Source organism: Homo sapiens, chromosome 10 (genome assembly GCF_000001405.40).
Source record: "Homo sapiens chromosome 10, GRCh38.p14 Primary Assembly".
Lineage (NCBI taxonomy): Eukaryota > Metazoa > Chordata > Mammalia > Primates > Hominidae > Homo > Homo sapiens.
Window position 1 is genome coordinate 120,073,325 of NC_000010.11, and position 16,865 is coordinate 120,090,189.

Sequence of the window (16,865 nt, forward strand, 5' to 3'; positions counted from 1 at the left end):
CATAGGGTGTGGCCCTCACCCTTGTGTTTATGACAGCTGCCTGAGCTCTGGTCTTCACATCTGAGTTCCAGGCGACAGGGGTGGAAAAAGAAAAGCATGCACTTCCCTTTAAGGCACCTTCTGGGAAGTCTCCCATTTATGTATCATTACTTAGAACATGGTCACATTATCACAGCTAGCTGCAAGAGAGGCTGGGAAATGTGACCTTTTAGCTTGCTAATAATTCACACAGCCCCAACCAATGAATCTAAGACAGGCAAAGGAAAAATGTATTTTCTTCTCCTCTAAAACTCATATTTGACCATAGATTATTTCCCCCAAACTCTCCACATATGGAAGTCTGAAGAGCCATATTCATACGTTTCTGCAAAAACCAAAAAACCAAAACTAAACTAAAACAAAACACAAAACAATCCCCACCATACCAAAAAACAACAACAAAAAACTCCAACAAAGCAGATAAAAATGTTATTTATATAGACTGCCAAAAGTTCCCAACTTGGCCTTGTATTCCAGTTTTACTTCCAGGATTAAAACTCCAATAAAAAGAGCTTCTGCCCAACTTCAGCAAGCCTTATTCCTAGGATGCTTTATGAGCTAACCCTGTTTAATGTTCTTCCTATTATTCATCCTGCCTTTCCCCACCTGCAGCCTTCCTCCAGGAACAGCCTTGAACCTGTGGGGCACCATGTTTATGGAGCTTCACTGCTGTTGCTCTTGTCTGGCTTTGCTGGGCATGTTCTGCTTGACTGATCCACCTTCCTTCCCTATATTCTCTTCTAACTGGCCCTTATTTGCAGTTTTCTGAGTAGGAAATATCAGTCTTCTGGGCCTCAATTTTCCCATTTATAAAAAGGAATGGTAAGCTCAAAAGTCTTTTTTAGGGATTATAATTTTGCTTCTAGTATTACCTTTTAAGCAGGAAACACACTGCCCAAAAGAAGTTGTGTACTTTCTAGAAGGGAGAGAAGTGAGGTCCAATCATAAATGAATGGCAGATGTACGAGTAACTATGATTTATTGAACACCTGAAACTACGTGAGGCATTTTACACATACCATTTCTTTTTTGAAATAACAGATTTGTTGAGATATAATTCACATATACATTTTATCCATTTACAGTATTATGATTCAATGGTTTTTAGTATATTCAGGTATGTGCAACCATCACCACAGTCAATTTTAGTGTATTTCCATTACCTCAAAAGGAAACCCTATATCCATTAGCTACATTCCCTACCCCTCATCCTTCTCAGCCACCACAATCTACTTTCTGTCTCTGTAGAATTGCCTGTTCTGGACAATTTCATATAAATGGAATCATGTATTATGTGGCTTTTTGTGTCTGACTTCATTTATCTGGTGTGATATTTTCAAGATTCATTCATGTTGCAGTATGTATCTGTACTTCGTTCTTTTTTTATCGCTGGATAATATTCCATTTTTGGGTTTGCCACATTTTGCTTATTCATTCATCAGTTGACATTTCAGTGTTTCTACTTTTTTGCTATTATGAATAATACCACTGGAAACATTCATGTACAAGTTTATGTGTGGACATGTGTTTTCATTCCCCTTGAGCAGATACCCAGGAGTGGAATTGCTGGGTCATAATGCTAACTCACATTTACATAGGTCATTTCTGATCCTCCTAAGAATCCTGTAAAACAGGAATTACTATTCCCATTTTACTGATGAGACAACTGAGGCTGGAGGAGGTTAAGTACCTTGCCAAGGAGACACAGCCAGTAAGTGGCTGAGTCTGGATTTAAACCCAAGTCTTTCTAATGCCAAAGCCACGGTTTTTCTTACTGTGCTCAACAGCCAAGGTTTAGCTCAGTTTCTGGTCTTACACGTGTTGATGTCAGAATGCTACTAAGGGCTTGCGGAGTCAGCTTCCTACATGTGGCTCTTGCTTTCAAATCACAAGAGCTATTCTGCTAGGAAGCCCCTGGAGTAAAGGTCAACATGAACTGGATCCAAATGGAATTCTCTCTTTACAGTGATGTTTAGATGTTTAAAATGTGCCAGGACCACCACCTCAAATATAAACACCTTCTTTAGGAATACTCAAGGTACAAGTTTCTGATTAGTGACTGTTAAGTGCATTGTCATCTTCTCCTTTCTTTCTCTCAACAGTTCCTATCCAACAGCTGCTACTGTAGGAATAAGCTCTGCCTGCTGCTGCCAGATTGTTGTTACAATAACATGCACCTTTGACAATTTGTGGCGGCTTTGTGTTTCTCTTGTTGTCATTCTGATTTTCAGCTCTGGGAGAGCACACAGCATATGGTGTGGAAATCGCTGACTTTGTACTGAATGGAGGTTCTGGTCATGAAAGCAAAGGTAGACAGAATGTGGAGCGTGGTTTCCAAAGTGGAAATACAGTATTTCACCGGATCGATTTTTTTATCCTGAATATTGCTATGTGTAAAGAGATGGTATGCTAAAAGAGCATCAAAAAGAAAACTGTAGTGGCAGTTTACATGTATATACCATAGAACCTGTCTCTAAAGAACCAGCTGCTTTGATAATATTTAGGACCATTAATTCTGTTGTCTGAGAAAGGGAGCAGACAGGATCATTAGGCAGCCTTATTTTCATTATAAAACTTAGATAAGAAACATTTACATAAACCTATCTCAACACAATACAATCATTTTTAGCATTTTGGTACATTTCCTTCTAGTCTGTGTTTTTTCTTTATGCATAGGATTCAAAACAAATTTGGTTTTAAGACATGTACACAATTTTACATCACCTTATTCTTTTATAACTATATGATCATAAGTATTTTAATTTTCCCCATATTATTACATCATTTTTATAATCATTTTAAGTGGCATTTAAGCATTTCATTAGATATGCCAATCTATTTTATTATTTGCCAATACTGAACATTTAGATTATTTTCTTTGCCTTGCTATTATTTGTTTGGTTGGTTTTTTAGAGACAGGATCTCACTATGTTGCCCAGGCTGGTCTCAAACTCCTGGCCTCAGATCCTCCCACCTCAGTCTCCTGAGTAGGTGGGATCACACGTGCAAGTCACTGTACCTGGCTGCCTTGCTATTCTTAATAACATCTGTATATCCACAGCTTTTGTGCATTTATTTCCTTAGAAATTCCTAGAGGAGAAATTTAGAAGGGTCTCTAATGACTGTTGTCAAATTGCTTTCCAAAACAATTGAGCTCATTTCCACTTCTCTTGGCAGCATGAGAGTGTTGGTTCCACCACATCTTCACCAGCATAGCATTGGCTGGTATTGGTAAGTTTAGGTACGAGGAATGAAGTTGAGCTCAAAGAGAAGATAAAAGCTATCCTCTGTCTCTGGGGAGAGTGTTCCAGGAGGGCAGAAAACTCATTTTGAGGAGGAAAAAATTGGGACATGTGGCAAAAGAGGGTTATGATGGGGAAGGAAGACTTCAGCAAACTTTTTAAAAAAATTTTTATTTTTTAATGTATTGTTTCTTACCTCTTGTTTTCCAGTCTAAGCCCTGGGAGCTTGTCATAAATTCTCTGCAGAGAGACCTGTGGACATGTAAAAGCAAGCGCGGCTCTTTGGGACCTACAGGACTCACAATCTTCCAGGGCTGGCCATCCAGTTGCCACTTGTGGGGAGAGCCTCCTTCCTCAGGGTCAGAAGCAGAGCAGAACCAGCAGCCATGGAGCAGAGACCAAGCCCGGCTGGAGGCTGGTGGCAGAACAGTAAGTGTCACAGTAGCGAAACGGCATTTTCAGAGGAAGTGGAGGTAGCAGCAGTGGGATGGGGGAACGAGGCAGCTTTGTGGGGATGGGCTTGCTGGGTCAGCTGGGAATGTGTGTGTGACCGTGTGTGTGCACGTGTGTTTGTGTGTGTAGAGAGAGCAGCAATGACCAGCATAGCCCCAGGGCTGAACTGGGCTAAAGAGCTGCAGAGTAATTAGAACAGCAGGCAGTACTAATTGTTATTATGTATGAAAGCACCTTTATTTGTAAAATTGTTTTATGTGCCAGGCTTGGTGCCAGCTGTTGGTTTCCTGCTTACCCTGGCTAGCGGAGGCTCATCCTGGAAAGTCTCTTGACCAGAGGACTGGTCAAGAGAGGGTCCTTACCTTCTCATGCATTCATTCATTCATTCAGTGAATGTTTACTGTGAAACAGGCCCTGGGGGTATGGCTCTGAGCAATGTGGAAGACATCCTTTACTTTTCCTCCTCAGAGCTGAGTCCAGCAGGGCTGGTTTCATGGGTGTCTGACCCATGCAGTTGCACAGGGCTGTGGTCTCAGAAGGGCTTCAAACTTGGTTTGATGCTCTGCCGTTACCATCTTGAAATTTGTAATAATTTTATCTTTGAATCTGGGCTTTGTCGGTGACGTCGGATAGGGCAGTGCAGCATCTGCGTGAGTAAAGGACGCACGCACAATGCCCGCAGCACCTGCCGTTCTCCATTTGCATGTGTATTCACGATGTCCCATGAACCTAGAATTCCCGCAGCGCCCTGTGGGAGCTCAGTGAGACATAAAGCAAGCACAAGGTAGGTGTGATATGAGTGTGTTACATTTACCACTTAGGAAGCAGGGAACCCACAGCGCCAAGAAGCTACACTGTCCGTTTGAATCAGAACTTGTTTTGAATGCAGAAAGAAGGCAATGGTGTTCTAAGAAACCTGAATACCTATTGCGCCCTATCAGATCCCTTCTTACTTGTGTCACTTCCCTGTGTTAGCCAACCACTATGCTGAAAATGATGACACAGGAGGAAGGAAAAGAGAGGGCAAGCCACAGTTCCTCCTCCTCACACATCAGAAACCTGATTGGTAAATGTGTTCTTAGAAGAGAAGGGAGTTGGTTGTGTGCAGCATTCCTGCTGCTTAGGTAAGATCAAAATACTCATGTTTGTGTGAGGTACGAAGTGCAAATTGTGTGATTTTGGTGATTCCACATGTTTGTTAAATGTTCTAATATTTGCATTTAAAATTGGTATTGTGCAATATACAGAAGAGTGGTAAAATTCACACTAATAATTTTCTATTTTATTTCTTTTTTTAAACTTAGAATGACAGTAAATATTACTGACGTTGGTGCAAAAGTAATTGTGGTTTTTGCCCTTACTTTTAATAACAAATATAATAACACCATGACATGTAGGGCAAGCAAGAGAAATTGCAGGAAAAAAGAAAACGTTTTATATTTTAGCATCTTTAATGACACTTTTTGCCTGTTTTTTTGAACAAAGTGCTCTGCATTTCATTTTTATACTGGTCCTTGCAAATTCAATGGCCAGCTCTGAGGCTGAGTTCGTGACTACAAGGAGGTCCATTCCTCTCTCTTCTTTTTTTTTTTTTTTTTTTTTTTTTTTTTTAAGATGGAGTCTCATTGAGTTGCCCTGACTGGAGTGCATTGGCACGATCTCAGCTTACTGCAGCCTCTGCCTCCCAGGTTCAAGCGATTCTCTGCCTCAGCCTCCCTAGTAGCTGGGATTACAGGTGCGCTCCACCACACCTGGCTAATTTTTGTATTTTTGGTGGCGACGGGGTTTCCCCACGTTGGTCAGGCTGGTCTTAAACTCCTGACCTGAAGTGATCCACCCACCTCGGCCTCCTAAAGTGCTGGGATTACAGGCATGAGCCACTGTACCTGGCCCCTCTCTCTTTGATTGCATCCTGGACCCTAGATACTTCCACTAGCTGATCTAGTCTGGTGGAGATGCCTTAGTAAGAGGTAGGGTTGTGAGGTACAAAGAACCCGAGACATGGATTGGTAGACTTGAGTTAGAATTCCATCTCTGGCTAAGTTGCTGTTGACATGCATGCCATCTACCTGCTCAGCACTCCTGTTTTCTCATTTTAAGAATGGACAGTGATGCCTACTTCTCAGGTAGTTGTGAGGATCATCATCATTGTTATCATCGTTACCAGCAGCAGTGTAGGACAGGCACAGGAGGGTTAGGAAGGAAAAGGTACAGGCTTGTTGGGACAGATTTGGCAAGGTAATGATTCAAAGGTGGGTAGAGAAACTCACCCACCAATACAAGGTTGTGGCTACCATTTGATTCTGTGGGCCCAAGAATTAGTCCCCCATCTGTAAAATGGGCACCTACCATTGATTCCCATTTCTGCTCCCACCACCCATTCTGGGCAATCGCAAAGGGCTGGAAGAATAGCCCAAATAGCAGCTCGCAGTCCCAGACTAAGTCACAAGGGGAAGCCCTAAGAAGGAGATCTACCATTTCCCAGTCCCAAATTATGTTCAGGTAATTATGCTGATAGGTAGAGCAGGTGAGACAATGTTGATTCATAAATACTTGGTTTACTGGTCCTGGGAGCAATTGTTTCAGTGGAAAAGTGGGTAGAGTATGTGTATTACCTACAAGTTCTGAGCACACAGGCTCAATTTAACCCCTTTATGGACAGTGCAAATTCTCCCTTTCATGAGCTTATTCTTTGTTGCACAAACACCTCCTGTATTAGTCTGTTCTCACACTGCTATGAAGAACTACCTGAGACTGGGTAATTTATGAAGAAAAGAGGTTTAATTGACTCACAGTTCCACAGGCTTAACAGGAAGCATGACTGGGAGGCCTCAGGAAACTTACAATCATGGTGGAAGGTGAAGGGAAGCAAGCACCATCTTCCCATGGCAGAGAAGGAGAGAGAGAGAAAGGGGGCAAGTGCCACACTTTTAAACCATTAGATCTCGTGAGAAGTCACGATCACGAGAACAGCATGGGGGAAATCCACCCCCATGATCCAATCACCTCCCACCAGGTCCCTTCCCTGACATGGTGGGGATTATAATTCCATGTGAGATTTGCGTTGGGACACAGAGCCAGACCATATCACCTCCCAAACTGCTTTTCAGAAAAAGGCAGAGTCACTGTGAAATGAATGAAGCTTCAATCGCTCCCAAGACTCCAGCGACGTGCTCATATTTTTTGTAAAATTTACAAGGGTAGGATTTGGGCTGTGAGTGGTTATGACTTCTGCTTCTTTCCACTCCAGCTTCTGCGTTGCCATACACTTCTCCTTGTGTGAGGTGCTGCTGGAGGTTGAGTGCATTTTGGAATCCAGATAAAGGGAGTTGAATGGGGATAATTAGTGGGAGGTATTGCTGTGGATTGTGGTTCTTTCTGCGATTTGTGGTTCTTTCTGTGTATAGATATTTCTAGTCACCTTGGCACAGGAGAAGCTTCTAGGACACTCCCGCCAACCACTCTGTGAGTCTCCCTGAGTCAGGCCTGCAGGTGTGACAACAGAGATTATGTGGCCCTGGAGAAGAAGTAAGATTTGACATAGAGAGAGCCAGATGCTAGTCTATGGAAAACACTTCCATTCATCAGATGTGTAAAGTTAGAACTAGTGGAATCATTTCTTGACACTTGCTCAAAATAGATGTTCTTTCCTGTCAAGAGTATACATTAATGCAACATGTACAATTATAAACATACCACAATAAATTGCAATGTTTTTTTTGGATGGGAGTCATGTGATATAGACTTCATCAGAATTTTTGGTTGTAGAGCACAAATGTGTGTGGCAGTGCTATAATGAATATGTTTTTACAGGAAGATGTTTGTGCATACCAAATATATTGAGCCATTAACAAATTCTGAAGCTGAAAAAATTTTTTCTGAATTTTGTTTAATAAAAAACAATTTAGATCAACTATACTAGAGAAAGACTGAATTATTTATCTATTCCCTTTGTAGAAAATGATATAAAATCATTGTCTCATAAGAAAGGCAAACAAAGTCTATGCAGCCGACAATGAAGGAAAATAAGATTATAAATGTAGGGCAGGCAGTTAACTAATAAAAATGTCATTTTATAAATGGGCTCTGAATGTTTTTTAGCTTTAAAAAATTCATAATTTATCATTTATTTTCTCATTAGAAATATCCAGTTTTGTACCTAATTTTGCATTTGCATTTTTTATTATAATAAAAAAGCACATCACCTTTAATCCCAGCACTTTGGGAGGCCGGGGGTGGGGGTGCGGATCAGCTGAGGTCAGGAGTTTGAGACCGGCCTGGCCAACATGGTGAAACCCCTTCTCTCCTAAAAATACAAAAATTAGCCAGGTATGGTGCCAGGCGCCTGTAATTCCAGCTACTCAGGAGGCAGAGGCAGGAGAATCACATGAACCCAGGGGGCGGAGGTTGCAGTGAGCCAGGATCGCACCATTGCACTCCAGCCTGGGCAATAAGAACAAAATTCCATCTCAAAATAAATAAATAAATATATATATATTTTTAAAAAGCACATCACATAAAATATACCCTCTTAAATGTTTAAGTGTACAGTGCAGTATTGTTAACTATATGCACATTGTTGTAATGTGTATTTTCATTAATGTTTTTTTCTTCAAGAATGCCCCCAAATTATATAAATTTCAGCCCTCAAACCCAAATCTGCCCTGCCCCTAGAACTTTTCTCATTGCGTCTCTTTCAAAACCACATATTTCTTCCTTTTTTTCTCTTCCTTTTTAGACAACAGCTTTATAATAGCTTTATTGAGATATAATTCACATATTACAAAATTCACTCTTTTAAAGTGTACAATCATTTTTAGTATATTCACAGAATTGTACAACTGTCACCATGATGTAATTTCGGAACATTTTCATCACCCCTAAAAAAGAAGCCCTATACCCATTAGCAATCACTCCCTGTTTTCCCTCCCCTCAGTCCCTAGACACCACGGATCTACTTCTGTCTTTATGAATGCCCTTATTTTGGACATTTCATATGAATGGGATCAAATCATATATGGTCCTTTGTGACTTTTTTTTTTTTTTTTTTTTTTTTTTTTTTTTGGAGACGGAGTCTCGCTCTGTCACCCAGGCTGGAGTGCAGTGGTGCCATCTCAGCTCACTGCAACCTTCACCTCCTGGGTTCACGCCATTCTCCCTCCTCAGCTTCCCGAGTAGCTGGGACTACAGGCGCCCGCCACCATGCCTGGGTAATTTTTTTTTGTACTTTTAGTAGAGACGGGGTTTCACTGCGACTGACTTTTTAACTTGGTATAGTGTTTGTAAGGTTCATCCATGGTGCAGCATGTATCAGTATTGAATTCTTTTTTATGATAGAATAATATTCCATTGTATGGATATGCCACCTTTTTTTCATCCATTAATGAGTTGGTGGATATTTGGGTTATTTCCACCTTTTGGCCATTATGAACAATATTGTTACGAACCTTCATATACAAGTGTTTTCATTTCTCTTGGGTAGATACCTAGGAGTAGAATTTCTGGTCATATGCTAACTATATGTTAAATCTTTTGAAGAATTGCCAGACCGTTTTTCAAAGTGGCTCTACCATTTTACAATCTCACCAGTAATGTGTAAGGGTTCCAATTTCTCCAAAGCCTCACCAACACTTAATGTGTGTCGTTTTGATTTCAGCCATCCTAGTGGGTATGAAGAATATCTTACTCCACATTTAATTAATGTCTCACTTTTTTACTTAGAGCTGTTTCATTAACACATGGAGGGACTTCCATTACACCCGGATTGTAGGGACAAGAATACAGACATTCGTAGTTGTTTAAGCAACATACTGACACATTCAAACTTGTGTATTCATTCTCTTCAAGCCCTTGACTCTATTTGCTCAAACCCTAACTGTATTCTTGTCTTATTTCATCTTTATAGTTTAAAAAATCCAGACAATGTGTAGACCCCTCTCAATATTTTACTGCAGGACAACTTTTTAAGCCAGGAATATTCTATCCACCTCGTTTTATTTTCATTGGTAGCAATCTAATAGGGCTGTTGTGATTAAATGAGGTATTGTATATCAAATGTATGGTCCATTAGTTCAATAAATATTAGCTAAAAAAAAAAAAAGATTGGATGCACTAGTCACACGGGGAGAGCGGCTTCACTTCAGGTCGAAGCCACCAGAGGAATCAACTCCTCCGACACCTTGATTTCAGCTTCCGCTTTTATGAACTGTGAGAGAATACATTTCTCTTGTGTGCGTGTGTGTGTGTGTGTGTGTGTGTGTGTGTGTGTGTGTGTGTTTGTGTCTGTGCATGTCTCTGTGCGTGTGTGTGGGTTTTTTTTTTTTTTTTTTTTTGAGCTAGGGTCTCAATTTGTCACCCAGGCTGGAGTGCAGTGGTGCCATCACGGCTCACTGCAGCTTCAACCTCCTGGGCTCAAATCATCCTCCCACCCCTCCCAAGTAGCTGGGACTACTAATTTTTTAAAAATGTTTTATAGAGACAAGTCCCACTGTGTTGCCCAGGTTAGTCTCGAACCCCTGGGCTGAAGTGATTCTCCCACTTTGGCCTCCCAAAGTTCTGGGATTACAGGCATAAGCCACCATGCCTGGCCTAGTTTCTCTTGCTTTAAGCCACCCAGTTTGTGATAATCTGTTATGGCAGCCCTAGGAAACTTAGACACCAGCTGTCAGGTAAGAAGCCTGAATACCCTGATGCCACAGTGCTCTGAAGAAGCCCAGGCTGGCTGTGTGAAGAGAGAGAGAGGTGCCCATGTAGCCCTCAGCTTTGCCAAATGAAGAAGTAATCTTGAACATCATCCCCATTGGACCCTCAACAGACTCCACCCTCAGCCAACATCCAACTGCAACTCTCTAAGAGGCCTCATGTGACATCAGCCCAGCTAAGTCCAGGCAATGGACGGAACCATGAGAGATAATAACAAAGATGGTTTGAAGCCACTGAGATCTGTTGTGGTTTGTTTTGTACTAAGGTCTTGATACAAAACCACTGACCATAGCCTTCTGAAAAATGGGGTCCAGCTCTCCTCATCTTTCTCATAAGAATCAGTTCTCATCCCTCTGCACTCTGGAATTCAGATGAACACCATTCTCTATCTTTTCATATGTATAGCAGACGGCTCCCTTCTTCAGTGGGTTTACAACCTGATGGTAGGGGTAAACCATAACTAAAAAAAACTGTTTGGAATTCTTTCTAAACATCATGATAACAAATTCAAAATTATATGTCAGGCAAGTGTGACTAAAATGGTTTGTAAAGATGACAAGATGATATGGTTTGGCTGTGTCCCCACCCAAATCTCATCTTGAGTTGTAGCTCCCATAATTCCCATGTGTTGTGGGAGGGACCCAGTGGGAGATAATTGAATCATGGGGGCAGTTTTACCTGTACTGTTATTATGGTAGTGAATAAGTCTCACGTGACCTGATGGTTTTATAAGGGATTTCCCCTTTTGCTTGGCTGTCATTCTGTCTTGTCTGCCGCCATGTAAGATGTGCCTTTTGCCTTCTGCCATGATTGTGAGGCCTCCCCAGCCACGTGGAAATGCGAGTCCATTAAACCTCTTTTTCTTTATAAATTACCTGGTCTTGGGTATGTCTGTATTAGCAGCATGAAAACAGATTAATACAGAAGAATTCCCTCTGGGAGAACTCTGAATTTTGAAGGAAGTGATGGGTATGAGTAAGGGGATGAGCTGAAAGGGCATTCAGAATGGGAATAACGTGGGTTATTATAATATTACATTCCTTTATTGGAGGAACAGACTGAAAGGAAGTTCACTGGACTCAGAGTGGCTGCCATGGCCAACCCGCCTGGAGAAGATGGGCTATAGGAAGTTCTCTGTGCACGGGTGTCCTTTTTCTGTCTTGTGACCCTATTTCCCTGGCTACTACTGATCAGACTAGACCTTCAAGCCCTGGTCAAAGGCCAGTATCTCTGACAAAGATTCAACCCCAGCTCCCTGACCCTCAGGGGTCCACGAATGGCTTTTAGCACATGTGAACAACCTAAAATTGTGTGCAAAATTTACTGTTTCCCTTCATGTACTTTTCTGGTAAGCATATCCATAACTTATTACATTATCCATAACTTTTATCACATAAAAGGGGGGTAGGGCTTGACCCTGGAAGAGAAAAACCAGAATTTAAGGAAACAGAATGAGATCAACAACATGCACATAATGTACATTTATGAAAATGCACACATAATCATGTATTCATTTTGAAAGAGTGCAAACAAGAAGGTGCACATTGAGCACTTTGGAGAGGTTGCCTATGGAGGTGGAGGGGAGGAGGGAAATGGGAGTGTGGTTTGGAACCAAAAGAAGAAAAAAGAACCAGTATGTAGGTCAGTGGTGGCCTCTCAAGTGACCGGGCTGGAGAACTCTGGTCAATAGGGCACTCCTCGTTGGAAGACGGCCAACTGACAGATGGAACCCTTTCTCTAGGGAGTTTTTGACTGGAGGCCTTGAGAGTGGTGTGAATGGAAGCAGTTGCAGGATGAGAGCTGAGCCTGGCAGAGCCCTGGGGAGGGGAGCAGATGCTTGCTTCTGCAGAGGTGACAAGATGGATGGGCTGCCACAGCTTTGCTTGGGTCACTGCAGCGGCTTGAGCTAATGCAGAGGGAGAAGCTCCCTCATTATACCTCCTTCAGTGCAGTCTTGCTGCAGACCTGGAATGCTGAGAAACGCTCCTAGGACTTGCATCCTAGGTTGCTTCAAGACAACAGCAGCATAAATAATGTTCAAATGGTGAGGACACTGTGAACCTGTGAATGCAGCAAGGGTGCCAGGGTCTCAGGAAGTCAAACATCTACGGGTGTAGACTTTTGGCCTGTTTTTGTGTCCCTGAACCTGGCTGCTTCTCCAGGTAGGCAAACCATAAGGCCTTGTTCGTGCCCATTGGGTTAATGAAGCTGATTAACATGTATCAGGCTGAATGTCTGCAGAAATAATAGCGCTGCTCTCAGGCTCTCCTAAGCAGCACATCACCTCGCTGTTGTTGGCAGGAGGTCTGGAGAGAGGCAATATTTTAAAATGGGCTCTGGGTCAAAACAAAAGTTAGATCATTAGGAGAATTGTATTTCCCTGTGGAGGAGCTGGGGTGCACAGCTGGGATACTGTGTTGGCTCTTGCCCATTTTGAGAAGGAAGGAGACACATTTATACCCACATAAATTATACGTCAGGTTAATGACAAAGTACTTATTTCCAGGCTTAATGGAACGGCATGGTTCTAGCCTGTGGCGGCCCTCTGAGGCACTAGCTGCCATTTAAGCATTCTTAATTAGTGGTGTGCTATGATGCAGTTTGTTATGAGCTATTCCCAGCTCCCCGGGGTGAGTCCATGTTCCGTAACAACTGCGATTCTCTACTTTTTTTTTTTTTTTTTTTTTTTTTTTTTTAAAGTTAAGGAGTAGTTTGATTCTTTGAAATGTTCTTTTTCAAGAGCATAAACACCACAATAGATCTCAATTTAGTAAAAAAAGTACATAATCATTAATGTCACTTATAGTGGTTGGACAATATGGTCCCATCAAGATGTAGAAGGACCTCATGGTGTGACCTCACCTCCCACTCAAGGAGAAAGGCATAAAAAGGGTAACTCATGGCCTTTGAGGTCAGTTGGACCGGGGTTTTGTTCTTGTTTTGTTTTTCAGCTGTGTGTCCTTGGAGTAGATTGTAAAAGACTATTACCCAGTACTTGGCACATATTGTAGGGTCAATACATCTTGATTGTTATTATAATTAATGTATGAAGCACTCAGTTCAGTGTCTGGTATATGGTAGGAATTCTAACAATGCTCTTACCTTCCTTCTCTTGCATCTCTGAGAGCTGACTTTTCAGCGTTTGTCTAATCTGGGGAGTCACTGACTCTGGGGGCCAAAATGAAGTCTTACCCTTCACCTGAAGTGTGAATTCTTAATCTTTAGCATCCTCGCCTTGTGATCTTATAGACCTTCTTGAATACCTAATACATGAGAAATTCACATCTCTCCGAGGCAACCTATTCCCTCCTTAAGCAGCTCTGAGAAAGGAAATTCAGCTCCATCATGAAAGCTGTCCTCTTGCTCCTGCTCTCATAAAGAATCAACATATGTTTATTGAATAATAAATATTCATTGTGTAGGAAGAACTAGTGAAGGATACAAAGGAATTTAATCTATGTTTCTTGACCTGAAAGGGGAGTAAAGAATTACACCCAGGGAAAGATAAATGAGAATGGAAGGTGGCTTTGACACAGCAGGAGCTGCGGGGACCAGTATCTGCATCCCTGAGCTTCACTGATTAGGATGGCTACAGGAAGGAGGCGAGGAATTTGGCTTTCTCGATATGACCTGCCAGCAACTCAGGCTCTAATTCAGTGCAGAGAATTATTAAGAAAGCTTTAAAAAATTTATTACTATTTTAAAAATTTACCTAAGGATTATGACTGTGGTGTGTCTTAGTCTGGGATTTGTAAAAAACAGGCTGTAAACAAAGTTTAGGTGCTAAAGCAGGGACTGGCACACTTTGGCCTGTGTCACCTATTTTTGCACAGGCTGTGAGCTAAGAAATCCCACAACTCAGTGATTTAAATCAGGGTTTGGCGGCCGGTTGGGGTGCCTCACACCTGTAATCTCAGCACTTTGGGAGGCCAAGGCGGGTGGATCACGAGGTCAGGAGATTGGGACCATCCTGGCTAACACGGTGAAACCCTGTCTCTACTAAAAATACAAAAAATTAGCCAGGTGCAGTGGCGGGCACCTGTAGTCCCGGCTACTCGGGAGGCTGAGGCAGGAGAATGGTGTGAACCCAGGAGACAGAGGTTGCAGGGAGTTGAGATCGCGCCACTGCACTCCAGCCTGGGCGACAGAGCAAGACTCTGTCTCAAAAAAAAAAAAAAAAAAAAAATCAGGGTTTGGCAAACTATGGCCTAGGGGTCAAATCTAGCCCACTGCCTGTTTTGTACTGCCCATGAACAAATAATAGTTTTTCCTTTTTTTCTTTTTTTGAGACAGAGTCTCTCTCTGTCACCCAGGCTGGAGAGCAGTGGCACGATCTTGGCTCACTGCAACTTCCATCTTAATTGTGAATTATGTTAAAACAATTCACCTGCCTCAGCCTCCCAAGTAGCTGGGACTACAGGTGCGCTCCACCATGCCCAGGTATTTTTTGTATTTTTAGTGGAGACGGGGTTTTGCCATATTGGCCAGGCTGGTCTCAAACTCCTGACCTCAGGTGATCTGCCCACCTTGGCCTCCTCAAATGTTGGGATTACAGGCGTGAGCCACCACTCCTGGCTGTGGTTTTTCCATTTTTAAATGGTTGACAAAATATTATAAGAAGACTAATACAGGCATATCTTATTTAATTGTACTTCACTTTATTGCTCTTTGCAGATATTGTGTCTTTTACGAATAGAAGGTTTGTGGTAGCTCTGCATTGAGCAAGTCCATCAGTGCCATTTTTCTAGCAGCATGTGCTCTTTTTGTGTCTCTTTCTCATTTTGGTGGTTCTTAAAATATTCCAAACTTTTCCAGTATTATTATATCTATCACAGTGTGATCAGTGATCTTTGTTATTATTGTAATTATATTTGTTTTAGGGTGCCATGGACCCTGTCCATAGAAGATGATGAGCTTAATCAATGTTGTATATGTTCCCCACTCAGGCCTTCTTATTCCTTGAGACATAACAATATTGAAATTAGAGCAATTAATAACCCTGCAATAACCTCTCTCTGTTCAAGTGAAAGGAAGAGCCACACCTCTCACTTTAAATCACACAAATGATAAGAAAGCAAAACAATCTATTGCTGATATGGGGAAAGTTTTAGTAGTCTGGATAGAATATCAAAGCAGGCATAACATTCCTTTAAGCCAAAGCCTAATCCAGAGCAAGGCCCTAATTCTCCTCAATTCTGAGAAGGCTAAGATACCTAGAAAGAAACTTCAGAAGAAAAGTTGGAAGCAAGCAGAGGTTGGTTTATGAGGTTAAAGAAAGAAACCATCTCTATAACAGAAACGTACAAAGTGAAGCAGCAAGTGCTGGTGTAGAAGCTGCAGCAAGTTATCTAGACGATCTAGCTAAGATCATCGAGAAGGTGGCTACACTGACCAACAGATTTTCAGTGTAGATGAACCAGCCTTCTATTGGAAGAAGATGTCATCTAGAATTTTCATTGCTAGAAAGAAGTCAATGCTTGGTTTCAAAGCTTCAAAGAATAGGATGACTCTCTTGTTAGGGGTTAATGCAGCTGGTGACTTTAAATTGGAGCCAGTGCTCATTTTCCACTCTAAAAATCCTGGGGCCCTTAAGAATGGTGCTAAATTGACTCTGCCCATTCTATATAAATGCAAAAACAAAGCCTGGATAACAGCGTATCTGTTTACAGCATGGTTTACTGAACATTTTAAGCCCACTTTTGAGAACTACTACTCAGAAAAGTTATTCTTTTCAAAATATTACTACTCATTGACAATACATCTGGTCACCTAAGAGCTCTCATGGAGGTGTACAGGAGATTAATGTTCTTTCCATGCCTCCTAAAATAACATTCATTCTGCAGCCCTTGGATCAAGAAGTAATTTTGACTTTTAAATCTTATTATTTAAGAAATACATTTTGTAAGGCTATAGCTGCCATAGATATTGATTCCTCTGATGGATCTGGGCAAAGTCAATTGAAAACCCTCTGGAAAGAATTCACCATTCTAGATACCATTAAGAACATTTATGATTTATGGGAGAAGGTCAAAATATTAACATTAACAGGAGTATGGAAAAGTTGGTTCCAATCCTCATGGATGATTTTGAGAGGGGTTCAAGATTTCACTGGGGAGAGTAACCACAGATATGATGAAAACAGCAAAAGAACTAGAATTAAAAATGGAGCCTGAGGATGTGGCTGAATTTCTGCAATCTCGTGAAAAAACTTAAACGGATGAAGAGTTGCCTCCTTTTTTTGAGATGGAGTCTTGCTCTGTCACTCAGGCTGGAGTGCAGTGACACAATCTCGGCTCATTGCAACCTCTGCCTCCTGGGTTCAAGCAATTCTCCTGCCTCAGCCTCCCAAGTAGCTGGGATTACAGGCCACCATGCCCGGCTAATTTTTGTATTTTTAGTAGAGATGGGGTTTCACCAGGTTGGCCAGGC

The 16,865-nt window shown here is 41.7% G+C and overlaps 3 annotated features.

Moving 5' to 3' along the window:
- Window positions 1,903-2,404: an enhancer, noted in NCBI's record as "NANOG hESC enhancer chr10:121834739-121835240 (GRCh37/hg19 assembly coordinates)". NCBI's record gives its function as "activates a minimal SCP1, AML or CMV promoter by ChIP-STARR-seq in naive H9 embryonic stem cells {active_cell/tissue: H9 hESC(naive)}" and the evidence as "EXISTENCE:reporter gene assay evidence [ECO:0000049][PMID:30033119]".
- Window positions 3,197-3,698: an enhancer, noted in NCBI's record as "H3K4me1 hESC enhancer chr10:121836033-121836534 (GRCh37/hg19 assembly coordinates)". NCBI's record gives its function as "activates a minimal SCP1, AML or CMV promoter by ChIP-STARR-seq in primed H9 embryonic stem cells {active_cell/tissue: H9 hESC(primed)}" and the evidence as "EXISTENCE:reporter gene assay evidence [ECO:0000049][PMID:30033119]".
- Window positions 3,699-4,198: an enhancer, noted in NCBI's record as "H3K4me1 hESC enhancer chr10:121836535-121837034 (GRCh37/hg19 assembly coordinates)". NCBI's record gives its function as "activates a minimal SCP1, AML or CMV promoter by ChIP-STARR-seq in primed H9 embryonic stem cells {active_cell/tissue: H9 hESC(primed)}" and the evidence as "EXISTENCE:reporter gene assay evidence [ECO:0000049][PMID:30033119]".